Below are 20,576 nucleotides of genomic sequence, written 5' to 3'. Positions count from 1 at the left end.
TAACAATTAATACTCTATCTCTCTCCCACCACCCCATTTTTAGTGGAAGTTCACTGATGTGACATAAAATGTTTCTATGGCAAAACTTAATAAGTTGGTTAATTAGGGAACATTTTAAAAGTAGATTGCTTTGGTGTGTACCTTGCTCAAGTGAGTAAAATAGAGAGGTAACTACCGTTTCTTGAGATCATAATCCTCTTCTCAGAGAAGATAAGTAACTAAAAGAAGATTAATCATTAATTTTACACTTTGAATGAAGGTTTTTTTTTTTAGATGATAAAGAATAGGCAAACTTTAGGTTTTAAGACACTTAAAAAATACAAAGGAACTTATAGAATTGATCGGGGGAAATCCTTACAATAGAGACCTGTTTGGGATTTATGGGATGTCTGAAAATATGGATGTTGTTTCTAGGTTATTTCTGACTTTGTGGTTATTATGATTAAGTGTCTCATTTTCTTAATGCTAAGTATTAAGAAATGATTGGGAGCAAGGCAAGACTGGGTGAAGTCAGCAATCTAATAATTGTGATTCATACCCAAGTAGTTATTAAACCAAATGAATTAATAAGTTACACTAGATAGGTTAACGTGGAAAATCTATATAATTTTATTTTTCCTGTGTTTTTAAGACAAATAAAAACCTTCAGCACAAACCCCACCTGCAAAGTCCATGCAGAATCTTGTAAAACAACAGCTGATAAACGAACATTAGCATTCTTGTGGAGCACAGACTTTTGGAATAAGCCCTTCCCTACATACTGATGGCTATGAACACATGGGCTGAGCTATTTATTACTATTACGAATGAGGTGTGACTGACTTTCTATTATACCTAGTCATTCCATCATGCGATTCAATTTATGGGTGTATTTTAATTATTGAACAAAAAAAATGAATAATTAGAAAGGATACCTAAGAAAAAATGTCCATCTTCTGTATTGTCCTGTTAGTGAGGAACTATGAATTGATTTTTCCCCTTTTATGAAATACAAATATTTGCACATCCACAAGATAAAGAGAAAGAACAAGAAAATAGAGGAATGAGACACTCTGTCTTTAGGCCCATAATAAATGTTCCGTTCGCCCCCATGCCGGAGCCCCAACCTCTACCTTACAGAGCTGCAGTGATCACATGTCCTGGCATGCCGTTCTCCCTCTCCAACAGTGTCTTCATATATTATCTAAACAGCTGGTTTCATGTGTATATTACCCTACACAGCCTCATCTTTTATGACGTTGGATATAAGTTATAAATAAAAGATCGTGAATTTAGCCTGTTTTGACTGAGCTCGTTGGACTTTAAATGGGAATCATTGAGACCTACAAATGTACATTTCCATTGTTTTGACGCCAAGGTATAATGCCTGGAGTTCATAAATAAAATTATATAAATGATTCTGTCTTGCATAAACTGCCAGGGAGACAATAGGCGATGTGTCCCTCGGCCCCCTTTGGTGAGCAGGCTGGAGGAATCACCAGGTTGGTGCATCCGAGCGAGGCAAAGAGGCAGACCCAGCCAACTACACTGCAAGCAGTTCCAACTGCACAGCCAGGGACAGGCTCCATGGAAAAGGCTGTTGTTCAACTGTTGGCCTTTTCAGCCCCATTGTGCGGACAGCAGTTTTTCTCTAGGGTACCAAAGTGTCCCTCTTCAATTTACAATAGTGTTTGTATTTCTTAGCTTCACAAACTGTGATATGAGCAAACTAAATTATGCTATTTAACTTGCTTTGTAGGGGAAGAAAGGGACTAGAGTCAAAGCAAATGGCCACACCGTAGTAGTAATAGGATTTAAACCCATTTCTGCAGACTCCCACTCTAGAGTTCCCTTTACTCTACTGAGCCTCCTATTTCAAGTTGAAGACATGATTAGTTTGTTGGATTTCATTAACTATAAATTGAACATGGGTGCTAGAGATATGATGATAGACAAGATAGAAGAATTCTCTGCTTTCCACAAAGTTTATAGGTCCATAGGGAAGGCAGACATTAAATTATATGATGAATGCTATGATAAGAGATATTTATGATTCAGCACTGGATGCTGGAGGCACCTAGTGATATCTAATCTACTCTAGTGGATCCAGAAAGGCTTCCTGGAACAAGAGCCATTCAAGAGGACACTGGCAGATGCACAGATATTACCCAAGCAAGGGGATAGAGTGGAAAGGAGAATGTGCAGAATGCCTGAGATGAGTTACAGTGATAGGAAGAAATCCGGATGGCTGGAGTGAGTATTCCAGGGTAGGCAGTAGCTAAACCCAGGGTTTTCGAGGCAATCCTAAAGACAGTGGGCAGGGGAGAAAAACAGACTATCAGGTGACTATGTGTGGAGAGCTACAGAGAGCACCAGGATTAGCTTAACACACCAGAATATACAGAGTTCAGTTTAGAGTCCCTTGCCTCATCCTATCTGATACTGTTAAGAATGCACATATATCTGTTTTCCTAAAAGTAGACTGGGGAAAGAGAAGCCAGTGCTCTCTTACTGGATGCTATTCTTCGATTTATTTAATGTATGTTTACTGAATATCTGGTATATTCAAGGGCATGTACCACATTGTGCTAAGCACTGTTGAACATTCAACGTACAAGTTAATATTTATTGAGTGCTTGCCTGTTACACACTTAGAGTTGTGGTGATTATAAATGAAGTTGTGGGCCTCGTTTACAGTAATCTCGCTGAAAGTAGGACACAACAAAATAAGCAACTAGGCCTGTCTACAAACAGGTATTATGCACACTGCTTAATGTTTTAATAAACAACCAAGTTGATCTCAGGGTTATATCCAACAATAAGAGAATTTTTGGTTTTTAATGTTATTTTTTAAAGACTTAGAACTAATTTCGGTTTTATAGTACAGGTACCAAATTAATTTTTGCTCAAAAATATAAGTGCATATTATGTGCTAGGCGTTGTACCAGTGATACAAATTGAGGACATTGTTCCTTGCCTCTGAGAAGCTTGCAAACAAGTGGGAACTATAACAATAAATATATTACGGTGGGATGTGCTATAAAAATGTTAGAAGATGTTAAAGTAATGTGGGCAACTTTGTAAACCTGTTTAATTTATTCCATTCCATCATACTGCAAAAATGAGAATAATGCATTTCCTGCTTTTTTTTTTTTTTTTTTTTTTTTTTTTTTTGAGACAGAGTTCCGCTCTTGTTGCCCAGGCTGGAGTGCTATGGTGCGATGTTGGCTCACTGCAACCTCTGCCTCCTGGGTTCAAGCGATTCTCCTGCCTCAGCCTCCTGAGTCGCTGGGATTACAGGCGCCCACCACCATGCCCAGCTAATTTTTGTTATTTTTAGTAGAGACGGGGTTTCGCCATGTTGGCTAGCCTGGACTCGAACTCCTGACCTCAGGTGATCCACCTGCCTTGGCCTCCCAAAGTGCTGGGATTACAGGTGTGAGCCACTGCACCCAGCCCATTTCCTGCATTTTTATTGACACAATTTTAAATAAAATGCTTGAAATCCAACACATTTCTGTTTTCTTCTGAAATGTTCTAAATAGAACATTTATTTGTCTAATAAAGTTATAAGAGTCATGAACCATTTCTTGTTTGGAGAATTAGTCTTTTGGTAATCAGAAAAGGAACAGGTAGCAAATTGCATTCCAAAAATGAAACTTTTAATCAGAAGGAGACATTTTCAGTGTGATTAGGCAGTTTTCTGTCAGCACAGGTTAAAGAAAATCAACCAATAGACTAGATCCCAGAAAACTTTCTAAGAATGTCCATTGCTTTTTTCAAAAAACAGACTTCATTCATAGTATTAAAAGCATTTGTATAGCTTGCTTCTTAAATGCTATACACAATTTTTCATATATCAACATGGAAAGGTTTCCGCTTTTATTCAAAATATGCAAATGAGTCATAACTGTTACCATTCACATAAGATTTTATTGATAAATGTATTCAGTAAGTATTGAGTGACTAGTTGTATCAGACTGTGAGGATACAGAATCCTGCCCTTAGAGCACTTAGAGCTTGGAGAATCTGATGGCATAATGAATAGTTACAGAAGGTGTTTCTTTTTCTTAACCATTCTTCTCACTAATACTTTTAACAAAAAATTGAAGGTCATACTTTATTAGTATTTTCAAATACTCTCTTTGATTAGAATTGCCTAAAAACACTGCTTTTCTAGGTATCTTTAATTTGATGCTACAATGGCTCACATTATGAACTTATCAAGGAAGATTACTGCCATGATTCACTGTGGTGAATTTTTCTGTTTAAAAAAAAAAAGATGGAAGGAAGGAAAGGAAGGAAGGAAGGAAGGGAGGAAGGAAGGATTAACATAGCTACCTCTGAAGCTTTTTATGGTACATGTATAATAAAAGAAGGAAAATTTGGGAAGCAGCAATTTGGGAGCACAGAGATAAGGCAAAGTGAAATATAGGTAGAATTGTACAACAAATCAGAATTATTTTTAACCAAGTTTGGGAAAACAGAAGGTTAATAGTTAATGCAATCTAAATAAAATCCTATGACATAACCTAATGATTGAGAAGATCCTAAATTAGATACGTTATCAAGAGGAAATAGTGTATTTAAATTCCTTAATTGAGCCAGAAATAAAATTTCAGCCACCAATTGCCCATATAAAGCCTACCAAGTGACTAGAATTATGTCTCTTGCCTAGAAATAGGTCAATTAGATAAATGATTGCAAAGAAATAAGTGATGTCTGATTTCATAAGTCATTTAATGCTTAATAACCAAAGTAAATCAATCAAGGGTTAGGGAAAATAGCAGTTCTAATCTGTTGGTTTTGAGGCTTGAGACTTATTTTGCTTCTTTAATTTTTAAATCTCAGCATTAGAAATCAGAATTTTTCATTACATTTCTCTTTTCTTCAAATAGTCTCAAGTGACTGTTGAATTCATAGAATTACATATGTAAATTTTAAAGTGAAGATTTACTTGATAGGTTTTAAAAATGTCAATTGCACAGAGAAGGTGCTATGAATAAGAATTCACACCTGCCTAGGGCAAGTAGACAATTAAAAAAAAACTCTACATCATTTTAAATATACATTCTCATACTTTTGGATCAGAACATCAAAAGAGGAACTTTGCCATTTAGAGTTGCCATAAACTTGCATTTATTGAACACTCAGAATGTGAGCACAAGTGATTTTAATAATAGCACAACCTCTCTCAATAACTCACAGAAGCTCCAAACGAGTCCTTTCCCTTCATTCTGAGCCTATTGTCTACCACCAAGCTCAGAGCTTATTAGGTAGCTTTAAGATTCAGTGAAGTCTCTTATTTCTATAAATTTGAAGGATAACTGTTTCAAAGCATAAAATACAAGAAAAGTATACATTGAAGGACTAGTTATTGGGATTTAACATTCTCATCAGAGCCCACACTCATCCTCCAGGTAGACTAATGGGGCAATATATAGAGATACTGCATGTTCACCAAACTCCCATCTTTTTTTTTTTCTGGACACACAGCTTTAGTACATTTCCCAAATGCCCTTGGTGGGGTCCCGTCACTGAGTTCTAACTAATGGAAATGATGTGCAACACTTGCAGGCCTGGTCCCTAAAATTCATCTTGCATAGTCCACAAAGTTCTGTCATTTTTTTTTTTTTTTTTTTTGAGATGGAGTCTCACTCTGTCACCGAGGCTGCCGGGCAGTGGCACCGTGTCGGCTCACTGCAACCTCCATCTCCTGGGTTCAAGCAATTCTCCTGCCTCAGCCTCCCAAGTAGCTGGGATTACAGGCGCCCATCACCACGCCCAGCTAGTTTTTATATTTTTAGTACAGATAGGGTCTCACCATGTTGGCCAGGCTGGTCCTGACCTCAGGTGATCCACCCGCCTTGGCCTCCCAAAGTGCTGGGATTACAGGCATGAGTCACCATGCCCAGCCAAGTTCTGTCTTATCTGCCCATACTATGCACAGAATTCAGGGAAAGGCTGAGGTCTAGGGGGATGGGAAAGGCATGCTGAGGGCGTGTGCAGAATAGTTTTACCTCTCTTCCTCCCACTAAACTTGCATTGGACTGTGACTTGAGCAAGAAATTAACCTATTTTGCATTATACCCAGATGCTTTAGTTTTTATCATTGCAGTTAATACGTGATAAATGATACAGTTGGTAAAGGAAGATGGTGGGTAGGAGAATGAGAAAGCAGATATCTTCGCTTTATAGTTTGCCACTAATTCCATATAACTCCCTGTGGAGGTGAATATGGTAATAGTAATACCCTATGATAGAAGTGCCAGACATAAACAAAAAGTTACCAAACCAATATATCAGGGATCCAACGTGGTTGAGTACCTCGCTACCATCCATTTTTTTCTTCAAGCAAATTCTGTATATCTGTATCACATTTCCCCTGACATATTTCTCGACTGGCCCCTGGGATCCAATAGTTCATTTATTCCATTCACAACATTTTCCCCTTGATTATTGAGCATTATTATCCTGCATTCCATTTCCAAATTTAATAAATGATTTTTTTCAGAAATTGTTGATAACCACTTTTTTGAAATTAATGAATTTGGCAAAAAGAGGAGAACAGAATTGATTATTTGAGCATAAAACTGTTATAAAGGCCGGGTGCAGTGGCTCATGCCTGTAACCCCAGCACTTTGGGAGGCCGAGGCAGGCGGATCACTTGAGGTCAGGAGTTCGAGACCAGCCTGGCAACATGGTAAAACCCCATCTCTACTAAAAATACAAAAATTAGCCAGGCATGGTGGTGCATGCCTGTATCCCAGCTACTTGGGAGGCTGAGGCAGGAGAATCGCTTGAACCTGGGAGGTAGGGGTTGCAGTGAGCCGAGATCACACCACTGCACTCCAGCCTGGGCAACAGAGCAAGACTCCATCTCAAACAAACAAACAAAAAAAGCTGTTGCAAAGTTTTTTTTTTAAATTACACTTTTGTTATTGTTAAAAATTAAAATTTTCTTCTCTTTTTCTTCTACCAGATACTACGTTTTAATAATATAATAATCAAAACCAGTATAATGGTGATGCTGTAATAGCCAGATCAATGGACTGAAATAGCCCAGAAATGAGTTGGGCATGGTGGCTTATACCTGTAATCCCAGCACTTTGAGACCAAGGCAGATCACTTGAGACCAGGAGTTGGGCAACATAGTGAGATCACTTGATCACCTGAGCACATGGATTGCTCAAGGCCAGCCTGGGCAACATAGAGAGACCTTGTCTCTACAAAAGATTTAAAAAATTCACCAGATGGCCCGGTGCAGTGGCTCACGCCTGTAAGGCCAAGGGGGTGAATCACAAGGTCAGGAGTTTGAGACCAGCCTGGCCAACATGGTGAAATCCCATCTCTACTAAAAACACAAAAATTAGCTGGGCGCGGTGGTGCACGCCTGTAGTCCCAGGTACTTGGGAGGCTGAGGCAAGAGAATTGCTTGAATTAGGGAGGTGGAGGTTGCAGTGAGCCGAGATCGCACCATTGCACTCCAGCCTAGGTGACAGAGGGAGACTGTCTCAAAAAATTCACCAGGTGAGGTGGCACATTGTCTGTAGTGCCAGCTACTCAGGAGGCTGAGGTGGGAGGGTTACTTGAGCATGGGAGGTCAAGGCTATAGTGATCTGTGACTGCACCATTGCACTCCAGCCTGTGTGATAGAGTGAGACCCTATCTCAAAAAATAAAAATAAAGCCTGGGCACAGTGGCTCACGCCTGTAATCCTAGCATTTTGGGAGTCCAAGGTGGGTGGATTGCCTGAGCTCAGGAGTTCAAGACCAGCCTGGGCAACACGGTGAAACCCCTCTCTACTAAAATACAAAAAATTAGCCAGGTGTGGTTGTGTTCGCCTGTAATCCCAGCTGCTCGGGAGGCTGAGGCAGGGGAATTGCTTGAACCCAGAGGCGGAGGTTGCAGTGAGCCGAGATCGTGCCATTGCACTCCAGCCTGGGCGACAGAGTGAGACTCCGTCTCAAAAATAAATAAATAAATAAATAAAATAAAAATAAAGCCCAGAAACATACTCAAATATATAGAGACCATTCTTTAGTATACAGTATTTTTATATATATTTGAATGTGTTTCTGGACCTTCTGAGTGAACATTTCCTTCCCCCATATTGTGTTTTCTTCCCTTTTTTTTGTATTCTTCTTTTAAAAAATCATAGTGTGTTAGCAAAGCCCCAAAATGGATCCCAGTGATCTCCGCCTCCTGGTATTCACACCCTGTGTCTTGGTATCCACATGCTTGTGAAGTCCCTTCCCACTTTGTGCCAGGGTTGGTCTATGCGAGCAGTAGAACTGAGCAGAAGTGATGATATGTCATATGGTATGTTGTTAGGTCATCAAGACCATGGCTTCCATCGTAGGCAGTCACACTCTTTCTCTCTTGGATCATTTGCTGTGGGGAAGCAAACTGTCATATGAGAGGACACTCAAACAGCCTCTGGAGTCTCATTTGCTAAGGAACTGAGGACTCCAGCCTGAGAACTCAGGCAAGTAACTGAGGCCTGCCAACAACCATGGAGAAAGCCTGGAAGTGGATCCTCCCTCAGCCTTCAGTCGAGACAACAGCTGCAATGACAGCCAAGCCAGCGCCACCCAGCTTAGCCACCCCCAGAGAACTAACTCTCAGAAACCATGTAAGATAATACATGTTTGTTGTTTTAAGCTGCTAAGTTTTGGGGTAATTTATTATACAATAGATAATTAAAACACATAGCATATAAATAAAATCAATAAAACCAGTATGGGTCAGTAATGAGTAAATTAGATAATTAGACAAATTTTGACATTTCTGTTTCTATGTTAATTATTTTTCTTCAGAAAAATTCTCTACGGGTAAAATATGTTAAGAGTGGTTACCAACGGACATTTTAAAATTAATAATCAGTTTGGGAGGCCAAGGCGGTTGGATTGCTTTAACTCAGGAGTTTGAGGCCAACCTGGGCAACATGACAAAACCCTGTCTCTACAAAAAATACAAAAATTAGCCAGGCATGGTCGTGTGTGCCTGTAGTCCCAGCTACTTGGGAAGCTGAGGTGGGAGGATCAATTGAGCCTGGGAGGCCAGGCTGCAGTGAGTCAAAATCATACCATCTCAATCCAGCCTGAGCAACAGAGTGAGACCCTATCTAAAATATATACATGTATATTAACAATTATCTCTTGAAACTAAAGTATAATCACAGTACTAGTGTACTATTTTCCATTTTATTAAATGCACTAAACAGTATTGCAATGTGTTTGTGTTTATTAAAAAATATTTTGGAAATCTTTGGGAGAAAAGCTACTTCAAATTAGTCTGAAAACTATCATTTCCTTCTAGCAATGTGTAATAATGTAATGACTGCTTAGAATTTCCTGAGAGGGACTGTAACATATATTTTAAGCATAATATTGTAAACAAACAAGTTCTTTTGCAGTACTTGAAGATCTTTTTTTGTGACTATCCCCCTTATATATTATGAAGATACATTTTTTGTGACTATCCTCTTTATATGTATTGTGAAGATAAGGTTTTTTATAGTGAATATCCTCCTAATGCTACTAGTATTGTTTGCAATCTGTCATTATTCTTAGTGTAAAATTAAACTTCAACAGAGTACCTGTGTGAACTCTTAACAATTTTTGAATTAGTGAAGCCCCAAATTAATGATGCTTTACTAGATATAAGGGAACTGGAAAGGCTGAAATCTCAAGGTAGAGTCAAGGCAGTAATTCCTAGCAGCCTGTGTTTCTCGGTGTTCTTCATGCTTCACAGAGGTTGGAATTCAGCTTCTGGTTTAAGTTGTCTTAATCTTGACCACAGTGGTAATTTTACTTTCCCACTCTTTTTTCCTCAACTAGAATGACTCGGAGAGTTGAGCTAACAGAGGTAGAATATTGATTCGTGAGATAGGTTCTTAGAGATATAAGTGTGCGCATGGAAGAAGGAGGAATGGCGTGGAAGAGCAGGTGGAGACGGCCACAGCAGGGCTTAGAAATTCCCTCTATCCAAAGCCTGGTTGTGAGGAATTTGATAGAAAGGATTGTGTGGGCTAAGACATCAGTTTTTATGGTAATATTTGAGGGAGAAAATTGAGATCTTGGAATGCATTTGAAAAAAAGATTAGTTTTAATACAATTATCACTTTACCTGAGACCACATCTCAAAATCAAAATCAGTGATAATGTCTTTGCATTAATGTTGGAAAGACTTATGCTACTTCTGCATAATTTTCTGGTAAATTATGTAATGAGTGGTCAGTATAATAGCATGGTTATTGTGAAGGGTAAGATAGTATGTCATTTTTTTCCCTCTTAACATGTAAAGGCTATTTTCCATATTATACATACATTAATATTTATATGTGAATGAACAAATAGAAATATCATCAAGTAAAACTGAAGGAGTTGATTTGGGTTATTTCTTGTGTGAAACGGATGAAAAGAAAAATATTAGAAAATTTGATTACGTTATGAAGTAAACAAAATACAGCTTAATGAATGTGAAAAGATAAACTAGAAATAGACATTTGTAATGCATATAACTGACAATGGATTACTATCTAGAATAGAAAGAATTCTCACAAATACATGTAACCCAGTAAAAAAAAAAATGGACAAAAGATATGAAAAGACATTTCGGAGAAGTAATACAAATGGCCATAAACCTTGGAAAAAGTGCTGAGCCACACAGTAATCAACGAGATGCAAATAAAAGACAATGATATAATAATTATGTCAACAAAAAACAAGGAAAAGTCTTTTTTTTGAGACAGATTCTCGCTCTGTCTCCCAGGCTGGAGTGCAGTGGCGTGACTTCGGCTTACTGCAACCTCTGCCTCCCAGGTTCAAGCAATTCTCCTGCCTCAGCCTCCCGAGTAATTGGGATTACAGGCGCCCGCCACCATGCCCAGCTAATTTTTGTATTTTTAGTAGAGACGGGGTTTCACGATGTTGGCCAGGCTGGTCTTGAACTCCCAACCTCAGGCAGTCCACCCATCTTGGCCTCCCAAAGTGCTGAGATTACAGACGTGAGCCACCGCGCCCAGCCTAGAAAACTCTTATAACACTAAGTGTTATTGAGGATATTAAGCAAGGGGAACTGTCATTACTGACAGAGGTGGAAGCTAGTACATTCCCTTTGTAGAGAAATTTTGCATTGCCTAGTAAAGTAGTATATATGCATAACCCGTGACACAATAATTTCACATTTAGGTGTACTGTATCTTGCACAAATTGAATAGGAGACATGTTGAAGAATGTTAATAGGGCTTTTTTTTTTTTTTTTTTTTTTTTAAGACAGAGTCTTGCTCTGTCACCCAGGCTGGAGTGCAGTGGCATGATCTCAGCTCACTACAACCTATACCTCCCAGGTTCAAGTGATTCTCATATCTCAGCCTCCTGAGTAGCTGGGATTACAAACCCGTGCCAACACACCTGGCTAATTTTTGTATTTTCAGTAGAGACAGGATTTTGCCATGTTGGCCAGGCTGATCTCAAAGCCCTGGCCTCAAGTGATCTGCCTGCCTCAGCTTCCCAAGAATTTTTTTTAGAGACAAGGCTCACTATATTGTCCAGTGAATTAGTCTGTTCTCACGCTGCTAGTAAAGACATACGTGGGACTGGGTAATTTTAAAGGAAAGAGGTTTAATTGACTCAGAGTTCAGCATGGTTAGGGAGGCCTCAGGAAACTTACAATCATGGCAGAAGGGGAAGCAAACACAGCCTTCTTCACATTGCAGCAGCAAGGAGAAGTGCTGAGCAAATAAGGAGAAAGCTTCTTATAAAACCATCAGATCTGGTGAGAACTCACTATCATGAGAACAGCATGAAGGTAACCTCCACCGTGATTCAGTTACCTCCCATGGGGTCCCTCCATGACACATGGGGATTGTGGGAACCACAATTTAAAATGAGATTTGGGTGGGGACACAGCCAAACCATATCACCCAGGCTGGAGTGCAGTGGCTGTTCACAGGCGTGATCCCAGTACGGATCAGCACGGAAGTTTTGACGTGCTCTGTTTCCGACCTGGGCTGGTTCACTCCGCCTTAGGCAACCTGGTGGTCCTCCACTCCCTGGAGGTCACCATACTGATGCTGAACTTGGTGCAAACACCTGATTGGCATAGCGCACTACAGTGCAGAACTCCTGGGCTTAAGAGATCTTCCTGCCTCAGCCTCCCAGTAGCTGGGACTACAGGCATGCACCACAGCATGTGGCAGCATTCTTCTTTATTTTGTTACAACCAGTCTTAACTGGTAGATAGGGTGTTATGCTTAATAGCAGAAAGTTAGAAGCACTCATCAACAGGAGGATGGATATATAATCTGTTGTATAATCATACACTGGAAGGTATTAAGTAACAAATATTATTCCACTACAATCACATATGTCAACACAGATGGCTCACAAACCTAAGGCAAAACAAAAGAAATGTATCACAGTAATACACAAAATATAGTTGTGCTGGTATATCATTAATTGGTATATCAAAACATGGTTGTATTTGTATATCAATTTTGTATATTAATAGATACATAAAAGCAGGCAAAATTAAGCGATATGTTGTTTAGAGATACCTTTTTTATATATAATACAAATGGTAAAATCCTAAGGAAAGCAAAAGAATGCTTAATACAAGTTTCAGCATAGTGGTTAGCTCTAGAAGAAGAAAGGCAGCTCTGACTGGTGAGGGGCCGCCAGGGGCTTCTAAGTTTCTCATAATATTCCCTGTCTTAAGTTGAAGCAAGGTAGAAAAGCAAGGTTGTTCGTGTTATTGTTATTCTTTAAGTTGTGCATATATATACTCTAAACCCTTTGCATGTGTGATGTATCTCATGACAAAATATTTTAGAAATGTGTATGGAGTCTACACGTTGGGAAGTTGGCCTGGATACAATTTGCAAAATGAAGACAATTGTTATATCTATTAAATCATTGATTTCCCCCTTAAATATTTCTTGAACTTGCCCCCACTTTCCTTTTGTATTTGTTCTTTGCCCCATGTCCTTATTATTTCTAATCTGGGGTATTACTGTCACTGTCTAACTGGTCTTACCCCTTGGATTCATCTTCCTCACAGTCACCAAAATATAAATCTATTCATGCCCCTACCCTCACTATTTAGAACAAAAGTTAATAGTCAGGCTTTCCCTAGAGTTGTGCTCTCTGCTATCAGTAGCCTCCAGAGGTATTTATTATACACAGGTACTACCTTGATACCATATTACTCATAATTAAAATATTTAAAAGACTATAATAAAGATATAATAATTATTTTACATTATTTATTCAAGAACAAAAACATGTTTGCTCTTAAATATATTATTAATAAGAATTTTTAATTCTTGTTAAAATTAAAGGAAGAGCAATGTGATTTAATAAGCTTCGTGATTTTTGAAGTTTTGGTGCAATCTTAGTAATGCAAAGCATCAGAGATGTGGCTGCAGTATCAATTTTTGATTCTCAGTTTTAATGGCTGTCATAGCTGCATTTTTCTCATTAATGTTTTCCTTATATCCTGAATTTTCTCAATTATTGTTCTCTTTTTTTGCACTGTAGTATTTTTGTGAGTTGTATCAAAATGGATGGGCTAGGTAATAAATAATCTGAACAAACCATTAGATTCAGTTTATGCTCCCAAGAAATAAGTGTTTATAACTCAGGCCTTCCAAAAAATAAACATTTTATAATAAACAATGGATAATTTATGGAGACTTTACTGCAATAATAAATGCAAAGATGAGTAAATCTTCTTCAACAAGTTCAGTTCTAGAATATCTCAGGGACATAACACCAAACCTATCAGTAAGAGAGAATATTTACTGGTCATATACATATTCAGTTTGTCAGATTATCTTGTTAATTTTTTATCAAGTTCTGTCTTATATTGCATTTGCTAAGTTGGAAGAATAACAAAACCTTGGCCATACCTGAATTTCCTGTAAACCGTCTCAGAATGCAAAGGAGGTCAAGGGACTAGCTTTTGTTCTTAACAATTCAATATTGTTACATGATGCAGAAGTTACAAAGCTTTCATCAACAATTACTGACTACTTTCATTGTCATCCTCATGTGGGAGTTCTGAAAGACTGTTTGAGATGCATTCAAGTAACAGATGAGAGTGCGCAGTGCAGCCTTCTGTATTAAACAAAGAATAAGAGAAAAATATTCACTTCTATCCAATGTGTGAGCAATAGAGCATCAACAAACAAAACAGGCACTAGCCACAAAGCCTGTAGGAATTCAGGAAAGGAAGATCAAAGCCACACTCTTTAGAGGTGAACAGTATTAAAAAAATACAATTTTATTTGCAACAGAATTTTTATAAAATAAAGACATGCCCAAACAGACTATTAGCCAGATACTTCTTTCAAACTGAGTTCCAGACAGTGTTTCACTTTATAAGGACTCCAGTAGTACCATATCCAACACTAAAGCAGAACAGTTCACAAAAATATTCTGCCAGTGTCACCATTCAGGCCAACCAAAACCACCCACAGTTGATAAATTCCTAAATCCTAATTTATTAAAAAACCATAAATGCCCCCACATCATTCCAGATTTATTTATACCTCTCAGAGACCTAAGTCAGTACTTTACATCAATATTACTCTATTCCAAAAGGATAAAATGATTTACTTCTTTGACATTAAAAAAGTGAAATATCTAATTAGAGAATACATACACTCCAGATTTATGATGGCAACTGACAGATAATATAAGAACTTCCTAAATTTAATGCACTATTAAAATTGCACCAATAGTCATATTAGAATAATTGTCAAAGTAAGATTCAGAAGACCCTAAAGTAGTATTACTTTGGGAGGGAAGAATCCAATTAGCATTCTAATTCTGATAGTAATTTGGGAGGAAAGAATACAATTTGTGCTCCTCTGGTCATCATATGGTGGTTTACAAATCCCAGACTGTCTCTCTTTCTCAACACATGGGAGGATTGTACTTTGCTGTGCACTTGGAATTAGGTGTGGCAATTAATTTCTCTGTCTAGAGACAGTGAAAGCTTTAAGAGACAGCATCTGCTTCACTGCATCTGTTTTTCCCTCTGGCTTTGTGATGAATAACATTTAAGATGGCAGTTGCTTGGCCAGCCAAGATCCCTGAACAATTACCAAAGGCAAAGTCCTGCTTCCGACTTGCAAAAGAAATACAGCATAGCAAGAAATAGTTAAAATTTGTGTTTTGGGCTGCTGAGATTTTGGGGTTTGTCACTGTGTCACAACCTAGTGTGTCCTGTCACAATGCCATGTGCAAAAGTATGCAAGCATCTATCTGATTTTTAGACGTCATAATCAAGAGTGAAATAAAGACAGGTTCTCTGTCTCAATTCTGCTTTGCTTTATCGAAAGAACCACTAGTAGTTGCTATGAGAAAGCTATCCCAAATTGTGTCAATTAATTTGAATACTACAAAATCGTGCCTGCTCAAGTAGGACAGATGTTGCATATTACAATACACACTGGCTGAAAGAATGTCAGGCAGCCTATTGTGCGTCCTTCTGCATTTATTTATACTAAATGAACAGGAAACATATTAGTTTATTTATTTATTTATTTATTTAGAGACGGAGTTTCACTCTTGTTGCCCAGGCTGGAGTGCAATGGCACGATCCTGGCTCACTGCAACCTCCACCTCCTGGGTTCAAGTGATTCTCCTGCCTCAGCCTCTCGAGTAGCTGGGATTACAGGCGCCCGCCACCACATCCAGCTAATTTTTTGTATTTTTGGTAGAGACGGGGTTTCACCATGCTGGCCAGGCTGGTCTTCAACTCCTGACCTCAGGTGATCCGCCCGCCTCAGCCTTCCAAGGTGCTGGGATTATAGGGGTGAGCCACCGTGCCTAGCCTAGTTTATTTTTTTAAAGCAGTTATTCCTATCCCATTTGGGCTCTGGTATTTATTCTCCTGATCAGAAATTAGCCAAGGCAGCAACTTGGGAGTCCTTTTATTCCTTTTTAAAAAGACATTCAAATGATACTGTAGATTCCTTTGACTTTATTTAAAATTGCATTTTTATTTTTATTTTTATAAAGGAAGAAATCTTGTTGATATTGTTAGAAACTACATCCTTACTGCTTAGAATAGTGCACATTATAAGTACCTCAAAAATACATATTTTTTTAAATGAATGAATCTGCATTTCTGCTAAAAGTACTCATTAACTGCAAGGTCAATGTGAATTAACAGTCTGATGTGGCTCTCCTAAAACCCAAATGCCATTTTAGGCTGCAATAATGGAGGTGTCAGATCCAGGATAAATGAAGAACATAATTCATTCTACTCTTAGTTTTTTGGAGTATAACACTTAGTTAAATATAGTACCACACAGCAGGAAAGACTGATATTAATACATTTTAGTGCAGTGTTTCTAACTTTCTTTTTCCATCCTGGTGACCCCAGAAAATGGTAATATTTGTAAGATACAAATGGGTAAAAAAGGCTTTGCTTATCTCAGGGCTGGGGGACTAAGACGCTGTCAAGAACTAACAAATTTCTCTTAGTTGCTCTTTAAATGTTGATAATGAGAGAATATTTTTATGACAAAGGAGAGAGACTTTTTTATTCTAAAAAATCTGTAATACTCAGGAAACAACATAAAATGATTATAATGCTTTCTCTCATGCACACCCCAATGCCATGACACTCACAGAAAATAATATGTTGGCACACTTGTAACACCCAGTTTGAGAAGCTGTAGTCTATTGTGTCAGTAGAAAACCAGCTGGGATGGGCGAGGGAAACAGAAGCCACAGAATTAGTCATTATACAGGCCACAATTAATCCAGCACCTCTAATGTAAGGCACTTTGCATATATGAACTCATTAATCCATTTATCAATAAAATGGGATGGTGTTATTTTCTCTGCTTTCTCATTAAGGAAACAGAGACTTAGAGACATTTAATATTGTATCTAGGTTTGTGTAAGTGCTTTATGGTGAGCTGGATTTTGAATCTAGGACTGACCCCAAATCCCATGTTATTTTCTCTGCAAAATAGCAAGACAGAAAGGGCTTCTATATGTACACCTGTCTTCAAATGTAAAAGGACTGCTAGGTGGCAGAGAGATTAGAAATTTCTGATGCTCCAAGAAGTTGATCTCTTACCTATGAGTGGAATAATGAAGGGGGACAGACTCTATTTCAGAATAATGAAGAAATGACTATCTTATGAAGGTAGAATTCTCTACCACAGATGGTGTTTAGCACATGACTACTTCTTAGGGAGTTTTAGAAGAAACTCCTATTTGGATGACCCCTGACTTTGCTTCCAACTTCCAGTATGATGTTATAGTAAGTAAAAAGCATGAGACAAATCTGTTAGAAATACTGTTTCTTTTACATGAACTTTCTCAGGAAGGATTTGTATTTTAGACTAATTGCATGTGGATAAAGAGCTGACTTCCAAGATAAAAGGCTCAATAGTTCTCCAAAGAGTTTACAAGTGCCTTTCTTTGAAGACTGCCCTATTATTTTGGAGCTTCCAAGACCTGGTCAGAAATGCATACATTCTCAAAAATCAAAATACAATCCCAAACCTCCATCATCAGCAAGGTTGCAGTATAATAAAGAGGCTCTATTACTTTCCTCAATCCTTCTCAAAGTGAATGGACATCAATTAACAAGAAATCTTAGAATCATTAGATTACCCTACTATAGACAATGGTTTAAGGCAATTTTAATGTGATTCTGTTGTGTGTGTAAGATAAATATTATATTTATTTTCAAATTTCCTCCTGTGTTTTACTACATTTTGGGGGAGGAAATGCCCTTTTCATCTTCCCACAATCTCTTTCATAGACACCCTTTCAATTTTTGTTTTAGAATACATCTCCTCTAATAAATCAAGGGTTTTCTAGGAAGCACACTTTTGTCCTGGACAGAGCACAGGAAAATTAAATAAAGGGCTGGCTACTGATCAGTAAAGAGAAATCGTAGAGCCAGGTAACATCACTGCTGCTGTCTCCACCACTGTCTTCTCTGCCTTTGCCCCATCTCTCCCTTTCTCCTCTTTACTTCCTTCCAGCCAAGCAATTGGTGCCCCATTCAACCTCCAGTCCTGTGAGGAGTCTGAAATGATTCTGGACTTGCAGTGACTGTTTCCTTTATTCTTTATTCCCCAAACCAAGGATAATTATGAGACAAACCTAGGCCAGGCATGGTGGCTCACGCCTATAATCCCAGCACTTTGGGAGGTCGAGGCAGGAGGATTGCTTGAGTCCAGGATCAAGACCAGCCTGGACAACATAGTGAGATCCCATCTCTACCAAAAAAAAAAAAAAATAGCCAGGCATAGTGGTCTGTGCCTGTTGTCTCAGCTACTTGGGAGGCAGAGGTGGGAGGATCACTTGAGCCCAAGAGTTCCAGGCTATAGTGAGCTAGGATCATACCACTGCACTCCAGCCTGGGCAGCAGAGTGAGTCACCATCTCTTGAGACAGAAAGAGAGAGAGAGAGAGAGAGAATCTTAACCGTTACAGAGAAGAAAATTCTAGATAGGGATGTGGCCTTTCAGTCACTTGCAAATGATCTCCTTTTCCTTGGCTGCAAGTATCTTTCATTATAAAGAAGAATGATTGAAGTCAGAGAGAAATTTTAGTGGATCTGGATTGCAGATAATTCTGTCATTAGTGGCATTAATTATTGTGCAAGTTTCTTATCCAGATTCCCTCATCTGTACTACATTCCCTCACCTATACATTGGTGGTAACTGATAGGGTTGTTGGGGGGATTAAATGGGAAAATGGGATAGATCTTGTAAAATACTCAGCATAGTGCCTGACATAGTATTAAATGTTAACCATTATTAGTATCATTAGTTTATCAGTATATAGAATTAAAGGAAATACATACCTAAGGAAGTATAACACTAATATGTAAAAAGGTAGCTTTGCTGCCTTTTATACCTGTGCACTTACATTTCTTTGAGATTTTAGGTTACTGTGCATTGTTTTTCTGTTGGTGTACTTGCTTCAATACATTGAGAAAATAAACTAATGAATATTAATCTATTAAATATCCCTCTAAAGTATATACAACATGGTTAAATGCTTTGTAAAGCCTCATCAAACCTAAGGCTATTAAAATTGTTTTCCCTGAAAGTATGTTTTACGTTTTAAATACACATATTATCTTTAAAAAGTAGTTACTATCTTTTAGTCAGTGCTGGAACCTCTAATTCTAAAGTCTGGAGACATACTGCTACTGCCACTGAAGTCTGCAAGTGGATTGGCATGCTCCTAAGAAGCGTGGGCATAGTTCAGAAAATTATCTTAGAAGGCAAAGAAGAACACTCTGTAAATGGAGTTGGAAATCTTTATATTGAGCTGATAGTTCTGTATCTTAAGATTAACAATCTTCTAGACACTAAAATTATTCAAACTCAAGACAATCCCTGATGAATTAGTTTAATTGCCCTGATGTGGGCCAAAGATTAAGGTTACATACATTCTCATTGAGAGAGCCATGTCACTTTTTATTAAATTTCAGACTCCTTCAGTTAGATTTACACTGGGGTGTTTTTTCCCGTCTAACAACATTTAGATTTAACTTCTTGTTCACCTTTCTTACTACTTGTTTTTGTCTAGCATGATTTTTGTGCCTTCAGGTGCACATGAATTATTTATGTACCCACATGATTTTCTTCCTACATCTCTACGCTGTGTTTTAAGTAAAAAGTTATGAAGGAATATTAAATAAGATGAAAGCAAAACCAAGGGAAATGCAATATAGTTGTGTGTATGTACTGGTAATGCTAACCATCAAGTATTACTGGACTCAGCTGAAAAAAGCAAATATGAGCTATTCTGTAACTGCCTTCACCAGTTGCTCATTTTGTATTGCCCTAGGGCAAGATTAGTTCCTAGAAGACATCATTCTGCAATATAACCCCTTCTCACCTTTAATCTCCCGAGGCCCTTTCCTGCCCCAAATACCAGGTAATTTTACTAAATCATAATGCATTTTGTTAGCAGCATGGGGAAAGGGACTAAATGAATGTTGGATCATCTATTATGCCAGTGGATAAATTACAAAGTGCCATTTCTCCAAATCAAATGCATTTGCAAATCAAACCCTGCAGTAGCTGCAAAAAGCAGACATTGCCTGACTCATATTTTACAGTTTCAGTTCTAAATCTTTAGAATGCCTTAAAATGAATGTAAAAAGACATAAATCTTCAGAATGCCTTAAAATGAATGTAAAAAGTCATAAATCTTTAGAATGCCTTTAATTCCACAAAAACAATTGTATATCTCCTTCCATGCCATTCACAGAGAGTAAAGAAATTTGCTACACTTGCACTATTCTATCCTAACAATTCATATCCCTAACAGGCCTTTCTCAGAGACCCATCTCTCGCTTAATCTTCTTCAAAAGCCATAAAACTCATGCTTTTTCTATGATGGAGAGACAACTTTAGTCCAAAATCCCCAACTTTGAATTTTCATCTTCAAAATATCCTCGCTGTAGGGAGTAAACCCCTTCCTTGGCTTTCAAGTAAAAAAAAAAAAAAATTGAAAATGAAAATGGTGTTTCAAGTAACTTGATCCTATGTATCTCTGTATCACTCAACACCTGTTTCTTTCTTCTAACCTCACA

At 38.0% G+C, this 20,576-nt stretch overlaps 1 long non-coding RNA gene and 1 pseudogene across 2 annotated transcripts in view; one reads left to right on the top strand and one right to left on the bottom strand.

Annotated features, from left to right (window-relative positions):
- Positions 1 to 20,576, top strand: part of GALNT7-DT (GALNT7 divergent transcript) — a 37,720-nt gene that overhangs the window by 15,828 nt on the left and 1,316 nt on the right. Inside the window, exon 4 of one of the 2 annotated variants that reach the window (NR_134241.1) lies at positions 8,314 to 9,589. The exons of the other annotated variant lie outside the window; for it this stretch is intronic. This is a non-coding gene — a long non-coding RNA (GALNT7 divergent transcript). Of the gene's footprint in view, positions 1 to 8,313; positions 9,590 to 20,576 lie in introns of those variants that run through there. 2 annotated transcript variants of the gene reach the window in all.
- RN7SL253P (RNA, 7SL, cytoplasmic 253, pseudogene) lies at positions 11,887 to 12,182 on the bottom strand (annotated as a pseudogene).

This window comes from Homo sapiens, chromosome 4 (assembly GCF_000001405.40).
Source record: "Homo sapiens chromosome 4, GRCh38.p14 Primary Assembly".
Classification (NCBI taxonomy): Eukaryota; Metazoa; Chordata; class Mammalia; order Primates; family Hominidae; genus Homo; species Homo sapiens.
The sequence above is the reverse complement of the archived record's forward strand: the minus strand, read 5'-3'. Positions and strand labels throughout refer to the sequence as shown.